This window comes from Homo sapiens, chromosome 11 (genome assembly GCF_000001405.40).
Source record: "Homo sapiens chromosome 11, GRCh38.p14 Primary Assembly".
In the NCBI taxonomy this organism is placed as follows: Eukaryota; Metazoa; Chordata; class Mammalia; order Primates; family Hominidae; genus Homo; species Homo sapiens.
The window spans coordinates 126,163,055-126,181,647 of NC_000011.10; positions in this window are offsets into that span (position 1 = coordinate 126,163,055).

Sequence of the window (18,593 nt, forward strand, 5' to 3'; positions counted from 1 at the left end):
CAGGAGCCTGGCTAATTCCCCGCTCACTGGCAGACTTTTCCAGGGGCGGCACGGCCAAGAAACTTCAGGTCCCTGCCACGAGGAGTGCGGGGGAGCGCGGAGCAGCTCACAGGAATGGCATCTTATGCCTTCCAGAAAGAGTGAGATTGATGGCACTTTTCAGGCCTCAATGAATCACACTCCCATGTGACCGCCTTAGCCTCCTGGCAGCAGATGTACTCAGCAGTCACTGTCCTCAACAACAGCACGTTTCTCACACACCCAGATGCACACGCATTGGCCGAGGGTCTTCCCAGGAGGCACTCATGACCCAGCACCCGCGGCTTGAAGTGCACGTATGCAAACCGGCACAGCCCGTGCCTATGTCAGGCATAGCTGCGGCCAGCTGCAGCTCCTGAGACCCAGGCTGGGGCCCCAGGGCACAGAATGCCCAGCGGACCGCAGCTCGGACAAGTTCCCGGCCCCTCTGCCCTAACCCCTTCCCTGCAGAGAGAGTAGGCAGAGGGAGGGGCAGCCTGAGGGAGAAAACAAACTTCAGACTCATTATCCCCAGGCCCAATCTCTGCTCTCAGCACAAATAAAGGTCTCTAATCCGGAGTGAAAAGCAAACACAGCTCCCCTCTTCTCCCCCTGTCTCCTCCCATCAGGCTCGGGGCCCTGGCTCCTGTTTTCAATACAAATATTCAATTAAACTTTCCTAGAGGGTCCAGTAATTGGGTCCCAAAGGCAAAGGTTCCCATAGACAGAGTGAGACCCCGAGACAGTGAGACCCAAGAGGGGCAGACGTACCCGGCGACAGAGAGCAACAGGCAGACCGGGAGACCAGGCAGAGAATGGGAGGCCCCAGAGGGAGGGGTCTCAGATTTGCCCGGTAATCAGGAAACCCTTTCCTAGAGCTCTGTGCCCTCAAACTCTAGCTTCCTCTGAACTGCCCTGAGAGAGGAAATGAATCTTCAAGAACAGACCACAGGGCCCCAGGTGCGGTGGCTCACACCTGTAATCCCAATGCTGTGGGAGGCCGAGGTGGGCAGATCACCTGAGGTCAGGAGTTTGAGACCAGTCTGGGCAACATGGCGGAACTCTGTCTCTACAGAAAATTCAAAATGTAGCCAGGTGTGGCTACTCAGGAGGCCGAGGCAGGAGAATTGCTTGATCCTGGGGGATGGAGGTTGCAGTGAGCCAAGATCGCACCACTGCACTCTAGTCTGGGTGCCAGAGCAAGACTCCGTCTCAAAAATAAAATAAATAAATAAATAAAATAGACCAAGGGCCTGCAGCGATGTGCTTGTCCCCGTCACAGCCATCTTCTTCATCAGCAGCTCTTGTTCCATCAGCCCTGAGCCCTTCCAGGGCCAACAGCCTCTCCTAGCATTTACCACATTTAAATCAAAACACTATAGTCCAGCCCAGCACCAAATCCTTTTAAGACCTCTCCACCTTTGATCTGAATTGCTACTACTATAATCACTCCTTTTCCTGCAGTTGCTTAAATGGAATGGCCTCAAAAGCAGAAAAATTTTTCTACTCCTATGAAAAAACTGAGACCTGGAGAGGAGGAAAATCTGGCCCAAGGTCACCCTGCAAGTTAGCGCCTGAGCATGACCAGACCCCAAGGCTTCTGGTGCCCCGTAGATTATTTTTACCTGGTTACTGTCAGTCAAGCCTGGAGAGGGGATGTCTGAGTTCCAGCTCTAGCCCCATGACTGGTCAGCTGTAACACAAGGGAAAGAAACTCCATCCTCAGCAACTTCCACGGATCCATTTCCTTAATCAGAAACTTTCTCCTGCAAGCCCTGAGGACGCTTAAACACCTAAGACACCAGGATTCAATAAATTAAGAAATGGTCGGCTACAGTGGCTCACACCTGTAATCCCAGCACTTCGGGAGGCCAAGGTGGGAGGATCACTCAGAGCCAGGAGTTTGAGACCAGCCTAGGCAACACAGGGAGACCTGGCCTCTACAAACAAACAAACGAACAAAATAGCCAGATATGCCCTGTAGTCCCAGCTGCTTGGGAGGATCACTTGAGCCCAGGAGTTTGAGGCTGCAATGAGCTATGATCCATGCCACTGCACTCCAGCCTGGGTGACAGAATGAGACCCTGTCACGCCTCTTCGACCCCGCAAAAAAAAAAAAAAAAAAAAAAAGTAAGGAGACTGGATACAAGGTGACTTTTAAAACACAGGGAGGAAGTGAGGTTAGTAATTCATGCTCCCTTCTCTTCCTTTCCCTCCTTCCCTTGGTTCCATCTTAACAAGTCAAGTTACAAGCCAGGCTGGGGGGTGGAGTAGGGGACTAAAGAAGGAGCCCAGCTGGCCCTCCTAATTAAAAACCCTAAAGCTCTCTCGACAGATCTGCCTGACAGTGTGGGATTGACTCCCTTAGCCCAGCACGGGCTGCACCTGGAGGTCTCTGCTCATGACCTCTAGATGAAGGACAAGGTTGACTGGAAAAGGAAGAAGTGAGAGGAGGGGCGGGAGCCCCATCATCAGAGCAGGAGACAGACTCCTGGGCAGCTGGCTGGAGCTGGCGTGGGATCAACACCCTGGGATGGGGCCCCAGAGGGAACGGATGGGCCTGGGTGTTGGGGCCTCCGCTGAAGGGAGGTAACAGATTGATTTCAACTGGACTTTGCCTGGATTTCCTCGTCTCGTAACCCGCACTGGTTGGATGGACGGCTGTCTGGGGCCTCTTCGAAACCCAGTTTATCAAACCTTCCCCAAAATGTTAGGTCAGCATCTCAGGACCCAGTGACCCCAAATTTCAGAAAAACTTGAGGGTTACCATTCAGCCCAAACATGCTCATTCATGGTAACCCAAGCAGGCTGGAGGCCTCCGGGCAGGCAGGGCACAGGCTGCCCCCGACCAGAGCAAAAAGTCAGCGCGTGCAGTCGGCTGGGGGAGAGGGAGAGCAGTCTGGGAGATGCTCCTCATGGCAGGGAGCCCGGGAGGCAAGAGCCGAGCCAGGAGCTTCCAAGGGAGTCTGGCTTTGGGATTTACGAGTCTCTTGTTTCCATTCAGAAGGACTCTAGGCCTCAAGTGCTCTGGAGAGGATCGTTCCATGGAGCCAAGACACCAGGCGGAAGGGAAGCTGCTTCCTCACCAGGCACCATCCTGTCCTCTCTGAGGCCAGATTCGGGGCTCACTAACTCCTTTGTTGCAGGCCAGGGCTTAGAACTTCCCTTTCTATGATTTAGGGCAAAGGATGTGCAGGAGAGGGGAAGGCCATGTTTCCTTGGTCTTGAACTCAAGGAGGAGCGTCAAGTCCTTGAAAAGTATCAGTGAAGGCAGGAAGTGCCATGATTCTCATGCCGTCTGACTTCAGATTGGAAGTCACTATGCGTAACCTTAGTATCTTTCCAGGATCACTTTTCTCAGTTGTCCAGAAATCTCCACTGTGACCCAAATCGCGCTGGCAATTCCCCTCCTCCTGCAAGTCCCATGCTAGAATTTGGATGCCATGTAAGTCTTTGGTTTAGACCCCGTGTAAATCCTGAGGTTGGCATCAGATTGTCAGACAGAAGGGAACACTGAACTCTGTGTGGTGTCCAGCACAGGCCATGTGCAGACACTGCTGCTGCTGCTGATAATGATGATAATGGTGGTGATGATGATAATAATTTATCTTGAATTTGCTGGATAAGACTTTTGGTTATGGATCCTGCTTAGGGACAGTCCCAGGATGACTGGGATCAAAGAGATGAGATGAGAGAGACTCTAATGATCCATTCCACTGGGAAATGAGCTGGTTAGTGTAGAAAAGAAAAATCCTAGGAGGCTTGGACTAAAAGTAAAAACACTACTGAGATCATTTACAGGAGCAGAGAAAGAGCGAGAAAGAGGGAAATGGTGAAAGTGAGGGTGGGGGATTCATATGACCCCAGTCCTATCAGGGAAAGCAACGCTCTTGCTGGAGACTGTCTTTAAAGGAATAAGAATGCCCTGGAGGCGTTTGAAATCCATCTCACAGTCAACAGGCATTAGCAACTGCAAGATATTTACAGGAAGCTTTTCCTCCATGACAGAGAAAAATACTTGGAGGAAGAGGCAGGTAGATCCCCAAATTCTGTTTGTACGAGATGCCTCCACACCTTTTACACACCATTCCATCTGCCTAAATGCCCTGCCGTCCCAGATGTACCTGTTTTTTGCTTCCCACTTCCCTACTAAATTAGGTGGTCCTTCTCTATGCTCATAGGGTTATTGTGAGAATTAACACGTGTAAAATCCTTAGACCTGGGACATAAATATTCAATAAAGATGTTCTGTTGTCAGTGTTGTTCTACCACAGTGCCCTTTGCACACCTCCACATGAATCCCGTGGGTTGGCAATCATATATGCTTGTCTATTGCACCCCGTCTGTGAGTTCTTGGCCAGCAGGAACCATTCATTAAATGTTTTTGTATTCTTATAACCTGGGTATGCTAAGTGGGATTTGGGACAGTTCAGAACCTGGAATATGCTAAGTGATCCTTAAATGTTGAATAAATGTACAAATGAAAAATGACTGTTTATGCACTTCTGAGATGTGTTATGAGCAAAACATGTGCCTGCCACCAGAGGTGGTCATATTCCTTTGGACATGTGTTCCCTCACCCCTCACCCACTGGTTCAGGCACTCAGCCAATAGCCTGTGGTCCACACTCTTAGGAGGGAGTTCATTTTGCTTTTCTCCAAGGCAGCCAACATCAACAGCAATGTAGAGATGGAAAACAGACCAGAACCAATGAACGTTGTTCCTTCTCCATCTGAGGTTCCAAACGTTTTAAATCTGCTAATGAGACCCAGCTAGGAGTAATCAGGAAGTGTCTAAAATTAGCTGTTTTAATTTGAGCAAGAGGGAAAGGGACCAACTCAGAAGGGGGCACAGTCTCTAGTGGAGACAGTGGGATTCTGGGAGCCTCCAGAAAAACCAGAGCAACATCTGGTGCTCCCACACCCAAGGGAATGCCCAGGATGGACCCCAGGTCCCTGTGGCTCCACACCTGGTCACAAATTGGAACAATGCATTGGCCACTTGTCCCAGAATCCATTGTGTGTCAAGCTAGAGAACAGAGGCCATGAGCTGCCACCTGGAAAACATTAGCTACAGTTTGGTTGTGAGAGGCCTTTCTCCTGCCCAACTTACCACTTTCTAACTACATTATTTTGGCTCTCATTTCCCAACACTAAAAGTTGGGCATATAGTAGAATGCTTCACTGCTTTTGTCAAACATTTTCTGAGCATTCTGGCTCACAGTGGTCCCTATAGTCTCGAATTTCTATGAGAAAACTGTCTTTACCATTCATTTATTAATCCATCAAACATTTATTGAGCATCTATTATGTATTAGTCTGTTTTCATGCTGCTAATAAAGACATACCCAAGACTGGACAATTTACAAAAGAAAGAAGTTTTTTGTTTGTTTATTTGTTTGGTTTTGAGAAGGGGTCTCGCTCTGTCGCCCAGGCTGAAGTGCAGTGGTACGATCTCAGCTCACTCTAACCTCCACCTCCCCGGTTCAAGCAATTCTACTGCCTTAGCCTCCCAAGCAGCTAGGACTGCAGGCACGTGCTACCAAGCCCAGATAATTTTTTTGTAATTTTAGTAGAGACGGGGTTTCACCATGTTGGCCAGGCTGGTCTCAAACTCCTGACCTCAGGTGATCCACCCAACTCGGTCTCCCATAGTGCTGAGACTACAGGTGTGAGCCACTGCACCTGGCCCAAGAAAGAGGTTTAATGAACTTACAGTTCCACATGACTGGGGAGGCCTCACAATCATAGCAGAAGGTGAGGGGGAGCAAGTCACATCTTATGTGGATGGCGGCAGGTAAAGAGAGAGCAAGGTTGTACAGGGAAAATCCCCCTTACAAAACCATCAGATCTCGTGAGACTCATTCACTATCATGAGAACAGCATGGGAAAGACCTGCCCCCATGATTCAATTACCTCCCACTAGGTCCCTCCCACAACATGTGGGAATTCAAGATGAGATTTGGGTGGGGACACAGCCAAACCGTATCATATTATAAGCTAGATACTGAGGTAGGGCTCAGGGATTCATGCAAAGAGGAAAAGGACACAGTGCTACTTTAAGGAGCTCAGTCTTCTGAGGAGACAAACATGAAAACAAACAATTGCAATGTCATATGATAATTGCTCTCTGGGAGGTGAGGTATGGACCAGGAACAATGGGAACAGGCAGAAAAAAATCAAGGAAGACTTTATTTGACACTTAGTATATATTGCCTTGTGTTACTGGCTTTCTTTCTTATTTCCTTATGTCTATATATGCAGTCAAAGAATGTGTCTTCCAATTTCTTATATCCCAACCTGCAGAGACCCTTTCACATGGCAGGAGTCCAATAATGTTTTTCATTCGCAGTTTTGTAAGAATTTGGGGATCTCTCATTACAGCAAATCATGACTGTCTCCATTCCTCTGACTCTACAAAAATGAGTCAGAACTACAGAAGAAAAGAATTAGGGTCAGGGCTCCTGGATCAACCAAGGGTTACCCAGTGAGCCCGTACGATCTCCTTCTTTAAAATGCTTAAAACACAGGAAAGTTTCCTACATGTCCAGGACAACTTAGGCCTAGTACTCCCTAAGGACAAGAGGATGGATTACACTAACTTCCAAAGGCCTGTTGGCTCTAAGGATTCTCTTATGTTCAGAGGCCCCCAACAAAAGACAAAAGACCAGGTCTTGGGGGGAGGGAAATTTACAAGTTAAAGGGTGGTGCCAGGGAAAGGATGGAATCCTCTACTTGGCTTCCACAGCTCTTCTCGGCTGGTCCCAGCCCTCTGGCCAGGCTCATTCCCATCATTCTCCCTACACGCCTATCACTGCCACTTTGAACTTCCCACCTGGCACCCGCACATGCTCAGGACAATTTTTTTTCTTCTTTCGTTTTTAAAGAGATGGGGTCTTGCTCTGTTGGCCGTGCTGGAGTGCTGTGGCATGATCATGGCTCACTGCAACCTCAAGCTCCTGGGCTCAAACAAAACTCCTTAAGTATTAAATAGCTAGGACTACAAGCACATGCCACCATACCTGGCAATTTTTAAAATTTTTTGGAGAGACCAGTTCTTGCTATGTTGCCCAGGCTGGTCTCAAACTCCTGGCCTCTAGCAGTCCTTCTGCCTCAGCCTCCCAAACTGTTGGGAATACAGATGTGAGCCACCCAGCCTGGCCACCCTTCTTTCTTCAGTCGAGAACTTCTGCATGTCGTTTAAGAACCTGCTCAGGGCTGGGCGCGGTGGCTCACGCCTGTAATCCCAGCACTTTGGGAGGCCAAGGAGGGTGGATCATGAGGTCAAGAGTTCAAGACCAGCTTGGCCAACATGGTGAAACTCCATCTCTACCTAAAAATACAAAAACTAGCTGGGCATGGTGGCAGGCGCCTATAATCCTAGCTACTTGGGAGGCTGAGGCAGAAGAATCGCTTGAACCTGGGAGGTGGAGCTTGCAGTGAGCGGAGATTGTGCCACTGCACTCCAGCCTGGGTGACAGAGCGAGACTCTGTCTCAAAAAAAAAAAAAAAAAAAAAAAAAGAACCTACTCAGGCCGGGCGCGGTGGCTCACGCCTGTAATCCCAGCACTCTGGAAGGCCGAGGCAGGCGGATCATTTGAGCCCAGGAGTTTGAGATCAGCCTGGGCAATATGACAAAAGCCTGTCTCTATTAAAAAAAAAAAAAAATATATATATATATATATATATATATATATGTCAGATGTGATGGCATGCACCTAGTCCCAGCTACTCAAGAGGTTGAGGTGGGAGGATCACCTGAGCCCAGGGAGTTTGAGGCTGCAGTGAGCCGAGATTACATTACTGTACTCCAGCCTAGGAGACAGAGTAAAGACCCTGTCTCAAGAAAAAAAATACATAAAAGAAAAAATAACCTAATCAAATGCCCTTTCCTCTGTAGTGCATGCCCTGACATTCTCCAGCAGAATTAGATATTCAGAAACTCCAGCATTTTATTTATATCTGGATTGTGACACTTCCAATGTTTTGTTGTAAACATACTACTTAGGACAAAAGTGATCTGGACTTCAAAGCCTGGAAAATCTTCAGGGCACACTTGAGCTCACATATTCAGATAGAAACTGGGGCGCTTAATGGGAGCGTTAGCATAGCAGTTTCCTAAAAGCCAGAGGCCCCTGGAGCCCATCTCTGGGGTTCTCCACGAATGTCCATCACTCACTCACTATTCCCCCTTTCCTCTCTCAATACCTCCCCTTTCCCTTTCCATCATGCAATCAGTTGTACCAAATCCTATAAATTGAAGTCTAAGATACTCCTCAACTCAACTCTGTCCACTTGTTCCTGCTTCAACTGCTGCCACCTTAGTCCCAGAGGTTCTCAACCCTGAATCCATATCCGAATCCCCTGGAGAGCTTTGAAAACTGTCCAGCAGTTTCCCTCTGCTCCTTTTGAGATGGAGTGTCGCTCTGTCACCCCGGCTGGAGTGCAGTGGTGCGATCTCTGCTCACTGCAAGCTCTGCTCACTGCAAGCTCTGCCTCCTGGGTTCACACCATTCTCCTGCCTCAGCCTCCCAAGTAACTGGGACTACAGGCGCCCGCCACCATGCCCGGCTAATTTTTTGTATTTTTAGTAGAGACGGGGTTTCACTGTGTTAGCCAGGATGGTCTCCATCTCCTGACCTCGTGATCCGCCCGCCTCGGCCTCCCAAAGTGCTGGGATTACAGGCATGAGCCACCGCACCCGGCCCCTCCCTCTGCTCTTGTTAGAGACCACATCCTGACTGGGCACCAAGGCCCTCACGCTCGGGCCCTCTCCAGCCTCCCCTGTGGCCTGTCTCCTGTCCTCCACCACACTGACTTTTCTGTTCCTTACATGGGTCACGCCCTTTCCTTCCTGGGGCCTTTTCAGGTGTCCCTTCCTCCGCCTGAGGGTTCTTCCTCCTTTTCCCTGCCTAGGGAACACCTCCACCTCCTCCTGGAGGCAGTAGAGGTTAAGAACGCAAGCTCCAGAGCAAGACAGCCTAGGTTCAAACCCCAGCTGCAGGACGACACCTGCTGTAGAGGGATCCCGGGCATTTGGACCTCTCCAAGCCAGAGTCTCTTCTTCCTGGTGTTGCTGCTTCAGAAGACCACTGTGGTCCGCAGAGTCCCCTCCAGGGGAATGGCACGATCACATATTCAGATGGGTGGCTCCCCTACTTTCTGCTACTACTCACAGCAGAGGATCGTGAGTTCTTTACCTGGTGCTTGTTACTGTACCCAACGCGTGCTAAGTGCTCGATGTACATTTTGTGCAATGACAACAAGTACCCTTGTCTGTGTTCCTAAAGCAGACCCCTGCCTGGAGGTCCCTCCAGTCTTCCAGTACTTGGGGTCCTGGATCCATCTCCAGCTTTCCCCAAAATGGGCAATTTACAGCTAGAGAATTGTGACTTCCTTTCTCTCTCCCCCCACAAAAAAGCAGAAAGCGAGTGGGACATCAAAAGCCTCTTTAAAACCAACATTTTGATGACTTAAGAGTAAATGAATGAGAAACATACGGCTTAAATTTTCTTTATGATCCACAGGGGCTCTTTCTGGACTCACTTTCCAAAGCTGCCAGGCTAATGATGAGAGTGGAAGTTGCTCAATTCTCACATCATCAACAGATGGCTCTCCATATTTGGAAAATTTTCACGTGGTAGAGGAAGGAAACCGCCAGCTCCTCAGATCTGTCATGTGCCCATGGCTCTCCTGCCCCCTTCCATATCTCATCCGGGTTACGCAGGACATTCTACTCCCAGTGGCCCCGAAGTTGTGGGCAGTCGGGATTGCCTTCCTGGGGCCAGGAGCCACGTAGCAGACAGAGCACAGGACTGAGCAAAGATCCACAGGCCAAGAGGCTGGTCCAGGATTTGCCACTGGCAAAGCCACACAACCTTCCTGGCTGGACTTCAGTTTTCTCATTGGCGAGATGGGAAAATGACCCTTGCTCTATCTCAGAGAGTTGTAACCAAAAATGAGACAACATTCAATCCCACGTCCAGCACACGGCAACGGGTCAACATTAGTTGACTCTGAACACAACACACATGTAAGGTCCCTGCTAGGGGTCTTAACGTTCTGTGAGCATGTCAGTCAGCAGCTGGCTCCTTTTGCTCCCTTCTAGTTGGGAGAATTCAGACCGTGTGGCTTGAGGGGAAAGGGAGGGATCAACCCATGTGGAGAAGCAGAGTTTAGGTGATCACTCCCAGGACACCCTCATTCCCAATGCAGTGACAGGCCTCGTGTCCCCAAGATCCATTCTCACCTTCAAAGTCATTGGTGAATGGCTGTGGTTTCAGTGTCATTTTTAAAACCTTTCAAACACTGACTTGCGGTGACAGACAGAAAATACCTCAGAGTCACAGCCAGACCACGCAGCCTGGCCTGAGGCACGAAACAAAGCACCTGTTATCCCAAAGCAACAGGAAGGCGCGGGGCATTGCCACGGGCAGGCGGTGCCGAGGGGGTGCCAACCTCAACACTGCAGGTCCTCCCTGTCCATTAACATTTGTTCATGGTGAAAACTAGTTCATGTGAACATCAAGCAAAGCCCAAGCCAGGGTGTGGAGGTAAGGTGAGGTGAGGGGTGGGGAGAGATGACATAAGAAGATGAGTAGGGCCAGGCGTGGTGGCACACACCTATAATCCCAGCACTTTGAGAGGCCAAGGTGGGTGGATCACCTGAGGTCAGGAGTTCGAGACCAGCCCCGTCAACATGGCGAAACCCCGTGTCTACTAAAAATACAAAAAAAAAAAAAAAAAAAAATCTGGGAGTGGTGGTACATGCCTGTAAATCCCAGCTCCTTGGGAGGCTGAGGCCGGAGAATTGCTTGAACCTGAGAGGCAGAGGTTGCAGTAAGCTGAGATCATGCCACAATACTCCAGCTTAAGCGACAAGAGCAAAATTCTGTCTCAAAAAGAATAAATAAAGAAGAAGAAGACAACGAGTAGCAGGATGTTTTCTCTATTTTTAAAGCATTGTTACTTGCTTTTTACTTTTTAAATATTTTTGTTAAAAGCTAAGACCTTGGCCTACACAGGGTGAGAACCATCAGTATCACCGTCTTCCACCCCCACATCTTGTCCCACTGGAAGCTCTTCAGGGGCAATAATGACCATGGAGCTGTCGTCTCCCAGTGATAACAATGGCTGCTTCTGGGGACCTCCTGAAGGCCCTGCCTGAGGCTGTTTCACAGTTGATTTTTTAAAAAATAAGTAGAAGAGCATTCTAAAATGGTAAAAAAGTATAGTATGGTAAATACATACACCAGTAATAGTCATTTATCATCATGATCAATATTGTGTACTGTGCATAGTTGTATGTTCTGAACTTCCACAGGACCGGCAGCGCAGCAGGTTTGTGTACACCAGCATCACCACAAACACGTGAGCAATGTGTTGTAATACAACGTTATGGTGGCTGCGATGTCACTATGTGAGGGAATTTTTCATCTCCTTATAATCTTATTCGGCCCCCGGTTGTACATGTTGTCCATCATGGACCAAAGTGTCGTGCAGGGCATGATTATTCTCAAAGCAGACAGGAGCCAGGGTGATGCAAGCACTGAAAATCATGTTCATGGAGAAAGTCTGAAAGATCTGGCATTTTTAGCCCAGAGAAGAAAAGGCCCTCAAAATGCCATCTTTCATTTATATATTCAAATATTCATGGGATGCCTATTAAGTGTTAGGTAGCATGCTATCTGTTACCATAGCAATCAGAAAGTCTCTTCCAGGTGTTCATCCCAGGTTCCTTCCTCAGGAGGCAGACCCGTCTGCCAGCTACTCGGACTGTCAGCTGCCGGTGGCTTCCAGGGCACAGCCTAATGCAGGGAAAGAAAGGCCTGGCCTCCTTGCTACAGTCTGGGTCAACTCCAAAGAGTCACCCCAGCTCCAGGGCCCCTTGTGGGACCAGATGAGGCCTCAGTTCCAACCACAGTGGGACTGGCTTCTCCCTCTGACCAATACCCCCTTCCCATTTTCTTCCAGGATGCCTCCCATCAGAGTCTGGCCAGTGGGGTCAGGGACATGCCAGCAAGCGATGGCAACCCGGCTGACAGGGCTAGGGATGGATGGGCAGTACATAGTGCTATGTCACCCCGCCCCCCGCCACCTGCCCAGGAGATGCACCTAATCCAGCCTTGGGGGTCAGGAGACTTCCTAGAAGATACAAGGTGAAATGAGCTCCACCCCGGGGGAGGAGGGTGGGCAGAAATGATTTTCACCTCCAGCTTGTTCTAAATGAAAGAAGAAAGACCACCCTCTACCCCCTGCCCCATTTACTGTGAGCCCAAGGCTGTGCTGACAGGGCCTCCAAGGAGTGGCCCTGCTCCATCTCCACTCTTCTGGCCTCTTGGATCACTGCCCAGAGCCTGCATGGACAGGACCCCTAGTTCTCAGCTGCTGGACGCTGCCAGCCCGTCAGAGGGACCCACGACAGGAAGAAGGGGCTGTACATTTTCAGATTCGGTTTTCCTGCTCCCAACCCCCACTCCATCCAAAGTGAAGCTGAGCTCAGAGATTAAAAACTCATTCCCGTGCAGGAAATGAAGACATTGCCAGGACCTCCCAGCCGAGAAAATATGAACAAGATGCCTCGTGCCGCTGATGAACTCCCCGCTCTTAGGGCCTCGAGGGAAGGCAGGAAGATGGGCCGCTAGCCCGGGCACTCCCATGCTTGTTCTCAGCTGCGCTTCACCCCCGGAGTGTGGGAAGTCCCTGGCTGCCGTGGTCAGAAATTGCCATAACATGCCCTGGCTCCCGTGGTCAGAAATTGCCCATTCAATAGGCAGAGAGGCATGGGAGCGATATGGAAAGGGCTCTGGGTTCCAGCCCAGCTGCGCAGTCAACCATGAGACCTGGGGTGTCTGTTCACCTTTCTGGGCCTTGGTTTTGTTGCCTATGCAATGAGATTGTTGGGCTTCTGGACTCCCCACGTGTCTTCCATCTAATTCTAATTTCTGAGGAAGGAAATGGAAAAGTTTACCAATATGATGAGAATCTTATAGCCCAACAACTGAGATCTCGAATCCAACAGGACCGCTTCTTCCGAAGACAGTAAAAGGCCCACAGACATCAGTGAGAAGTCTCTTCAAAACCATTCTGGAGTTTCCCTCAGGCTCCAGGGCGAGGTGAAAACTGATGGAAAGTTCAGACTGAGAAGGCAGTACAGCATCTCCTCCAGCCCTACTGCCAGAGAACCTGTCCTAAAGTGTGGATAACAGATGCCCTTGATGGCGCCTGGCACTCCTTCATCAGCCCCAATCTTAGGCCAAGGTGGACAGAGGATAACTCCGCAAAGCATAATTCTGCAGAAGATAACTGACAGCCACGACAGCTACTAGCATCTGGGAGCATGCACTATTACCTGGGAAGGACATCCTTTTTGACAGAGGGACACAGGATTAACATGAGAGACGTATCGGTTATCCATCATGTAACCACTTACTACAAACACAAAAGTTTTTTCTGTTGTTTTGTTTTTGAGACAGAGTTTCACTCTTGTTGCCCAGGCTGGAGTGCAATGGCGTGATCTTGGCTCACTGCAACCTCCACCTCCCAGGTTCAAGCGATTCTCCCATCTCAGCCTCCTGAGTAGCTGGAATTACAGGCGTGCGCCACCATGCCCGGCTAATTCTGTATTTTTAGTAGAGACGGGGTTTTGCCTTGTTGGCCAGGCTGATCTTGAACTCCTGACCTCAGGTGATCAGCGCCCCTCGGCCTCCCAAAGTGCTGGGATTACAGGCATGAGACACCGTGCCCAGCAAACACAGAAGTTTAAAGCAGCATACGCTTATAATCTCATGGGTTCTCTGAGTCACGAATTTAGATACAGCTTTGTTAGGGTCCTCTGGTTCAGGATTTCTCATAAGGCTGTGATCAAGTTGCTGGCCAGGACCGGAGTCTCATCTGAGGTTCAAATGGAGGAGGATTCACTTCTACAGAGAACTGATGGTGGGACTCAGTTCCTTGAGGTCGGTCAGACAGCAGCAGCCCTCTGTTCCTTGCCATGTGGGCCTCTCCGATATGACCACCTGCTTTGTGAAAGTGTGCAAAGCTCAAGGGCAACAGAGAGGGCCTGCTAGCAAGAGGGAAGTCACAATCTTATGTCACACAAGCAGAAATGTGACAGCCTATCATCTTTGTCGTATTGCATTTGTTAGAAGTTAGGTCACAAGTCCCACCCACACTCGAGGGGCAGGGACTACACAGGCTGTGGATACAAGGAGATGGGGACCATTGGGAGTCATCTTAGAGGCTGCCTGCCAGAGAGGAGGCAGAAAGAGGCCACCCACTGAGCCTTGAGCAGAATCAGCCCTGGAAAGCAACGCAGGGACAAGTGTCCCAGCCAGACCAGCTTTCATCCAAAAGGTTATGTGTCCTGCAGGTTAGAACCAGAGGAGCGGCATCTCAGGATGAGATGATGCCACACTGCACACGCTGACAGCCTGGGAGAATAGTGTCAGAAGAGGGAACCGGTGGCAGGGTGTGTAGTGGTGATTGTGTGCTGGCCGTGTGTGTTCTCAAAAGAAAGGAAAGGACCTGGTCACCATTTGAGGGTTATGATATAAATTGGGGAAGGGATGATCAGCCCACCCTTCACTCCCCTGCCAAGTCACTATATGCCTTTTTCAGGAAAGACCCACCCTGCCATCCCCTAGCCAGGAATCAGCCCCACCTATATCCACTGTAGTGTTGAGATATGGAATTGTCCAGTGGGGTAGAGGTAGGGAACTCCAGGCATAATCGGAATTCAATGTGTCCTTCAGAGATGTCCTTGTTCTTTGCCTCCTCTGAGCTCCCCCTCCTCAGGCAGCTTCAATGACAAAGCTGTAAAGCACTCTCCCTCTCCTCCTCTTTTTAAAACACAATTTTTATTTTTAAATATACTATATCTGTTAAGGAGAGGGGGCAAAGTTTTCTGTCTTTGTAATACCCATTCAGGAGTTTAATGGGTTAGGAGATTGGTTTTAACTGTGAGAAATCATCTACCTCTTGTGCTCAAGTGATCCTCCCGCCTCAGCCTCCCGAGTAGCTGAGACTACAGGCACATGCCACCACACCCCGGTAATTTTTTAATTTTTTGTAGAGATGGGGTCTCCCTTTGTTGCCCAGGCAGGTCTTGAACTTCCGGGCTCAAGCGATCCTCCTGCTTCGGCCTCCCTAAGTGCTGGGATGACAGGTGCGAGCCACCGTGTCTGGCCTACTAAGCATTTCTGAAGGCTATAGTTTAACATTTGGTTTCAAAAAGAAAGGAAGCTTTCATTTAAAAAATAATTTACTGAATTACATTCTTTCATAACTTCCACCCTAATTAGTCACAAAGATAATTCTAAAGATTCTTTGTTTTGTGTACTAACATTTTTCTTTTTTGAGTCAGGGTGGCACTCTGTTGCCCAGGTTAAAGGATGGTAGTGCAGTCATGGCTCACTGCAGCCTCAACCTCCTGGACTCAAGCAATCCTCCCACCTCAGCCTCCCAAGTAGCCGGGACTACTGGCACATGCCACCATGCCTGACTAATTTTTTGCAGAAATGGGGTCTCCCTATGTTGTCCAGGCTAATCTCAAACTCCTGAGCTCAAGTGATCCTCCTCCCTTGGCCTCTCAAAGTGCTGGGATTACAGGTGTGAGCTACCATGTCCAGCCATTTTTGTCTACTAATTTACATTTATATTTAAAGATTAATTTTACTTGTATCTTAAAACAAGAATGTTATGTTGGAAAAAGAGAACTAAATACATTTGTATAAAGGCTGTAAATGTCCCATGGCAAATGTTCTGTCTCAATATTTTCTACCACATTTAGAAACAGGATTCTGCAGAGAGAGACTTGGGTCGTTAAGATTCACCTTTCCTAAGGAGTTGTAGGCAGCAGATCTGAAGAACACAGAGCAACAACTCGATTTCTCTTTTTACAACTGCAGAGCATCACAGCTGCGATAATAGTACAAATACATGAAAAAATGACTTCACCAGGCTGGGCGCGGTGGCTCACGCCTGTAATCCTAGCACTTTGGGAGGCCAAGGCGGGCAGATTACTTGAACCCATGAGTTCGAGACCAGCCTGGGCAACATGGTGAAACCTTCTGTCTACAAAAATACAGAAAACTAGCTAGATGTGGTGGCACATACCTGTAGTCTCAGCTACTTGGGAAACTGAGGTGGAAGGATCACCTGAGTCTGGGAGGTCAAGGCTGCAGTGAGCTGAGATTGCACCATTGCACTCCAGCCTGGGCGACAGAGTGAGACCTTGTCTCAAAAAAAAAAAAGACATCACTCATATAAGATTTAGAAAAATCAGAGTGACCTCAGGCCAAGGCACCACCCAGTGTGGTGAGAATGACATTCGATAATGGAGAGAGAGTGTGTGTATGTATGTGTACATACGTGTGTATGTTATGTACAGATATCTCTCTGTATAAATAGCCATGTTCAGCCCCTTAAAAGCCTGTAAATATGATGTTGTGCTCCATATTCACTATTTGAAACTTCAAATACACAGGCCATGCAGAGGAGAGTTTCTTGTGTATCCCTGTTTGTCACCACCAATAAAATTGTGAAGTTTTCCAAATCACTGTTCATCATATATTTCCCTGGTAAGTGTTACGGCTTGTGGATGAAGCTAATCATGTATTCACACATCATCTCTCTCCTCTTTTAAGTGGCTCCTACAGCCTGTTGCAAATGAAATTCACAGGTTCAGGAGCCCAATACCTTGGGAAGTTTGAAAGCCTGTGTCCCTCTGTCCTCTAGGCAACCCCTAATGTGCAGGTTGTGCCTGCACAAAGGCATCAGTTGAGGGGTGAATGCAGCTCAGGGCTACACTGGAGGGAGGGGGCCCTTTGGGAATTCACCTGAAGACACCATATTGGCTAGCTGCCGCCAGTCCCAGCTAGCCAATATGACCCAGAGGCTACCACGGAGGCCAAGTTCAGCTAAGGCTTCGTAGTCACATACATCTTTGTGATCTTGGTTAAACAACATTTCCTTATCTATGACATTGAAAGCACAAGCAACAAAAGGAAAAACAGATAAACTGAACATCATCAAAATGTAAAACCTCTGTGCTTCCAAGAACACCATCAAGAAAGTGACAACACAACTTGTCCACAGACTGGGATGACATTTTTGCAAATCATATATCTGATAAAGGACTTGTATATAAAGAACACTTAAACAATTCGATAATTAAAAGACAAATGATCCAATTTAAAGATGAGCAAAGGATTTGAATAGACATTTCTCCAAGGAGGATATACAAGTGACCAATAAGCACATGAAAAGATGGTCAACATCACTGGCAATCATGAAAAGTCAAATCAAAACCACAGTGAGGGCCGGGTGCAGTGGCTCATGCCTGTAATCCCAGCACTTTGGGAGGCTGAGGCAGGCGGATCACCAGGTCAAAGCGATAAGACCATCCTGGCCAACATGGTGAAATCCTGTCTCTATTAAAAATACAAAAATTAGCTGGGTGTGGTGGCACACACCTGTAGTCCCAGCTACTTGGGAGGCTGAGGCAGGAGAATTGCTTGAGCCCGGGAGGCAGAGGTTGCAGTGAGCCAAGATCGCACCACTGCACTCCAGCCTGGCGACAGAGCGACACTCTGTCTCAAACAAACAAACAAAAAAATCCCACAGTGATATATGACTTCTCACCCACTAGGATGTCTAGAATGAAAAAATAATAACACTAACAAGTGTTGGTGAGGACATGGAGAAACTGGAACCTCAGACATTGCTGGCAGAAATATAAAATGGTACAGCCTGTATGGAAAACAATCTGGCAGTTTCTCAAAGACCAGACACGAAGTTTCCATATGACCCAGCAATTCCACTCCCAGACATACACCTAAGAGAAATGAAAACATATATACACAAAACTTGTACATCAATGTTCAAAGCAGCATTATTCATAAAAGCAAAAAGTAGAAACAATTCAAGCATTCAGCAACTAAAGAATGAACAAACAAAATTTGGCATATTCATTATACGGAATATTATTCAGTATTAGAAATGAAGAGCTGGGCACGGTGGCTCACTCCTGCCAGCACCTTGGGAGGATCACTTGAGGATTGCTCACTTTGGGAGGCAGGAGGATCGCTTGAGGCCAGAAGTTCAACTCCAGCTTGGGGAACATAGCGAGACTCTGCCTCTACAAAAAAAACTTTTAAACCCAAACAATTAGGCATAGTGGCACACTCCTGTAAGTCCAGCTACTGGAGAGGCTGAGGCTTGAGCCCGGGAGTTCAAGGCTGTAGTGAGCTATGATCGTGCCACTGCACTCCAGCCTGGGTGACAGAGCAAGACCCAGTCTCTTTAAAAAAAAAAAAGAAAGAAAGCAAGCAAAGAAAAAAGTGAAGTACTAATCCATGCTACAACATTAACCTTCAAGACGTTATGCTAAGTGAAAGAAGGCAGACACAAAGGACCACTTACTGTACGGTTCCATTTAGATGAAATGTCCAGAATCGGCCAGTCTTTAGAGATAAAAAGTAGATTAATGGTCTCCTAGGGCTGGAGAGAATTGGGGGGCAGGGGATTAGAGGCGTTGGCTAAGGGGTGCAGGGTTTCTTCTGGGGGTGGTGAAAA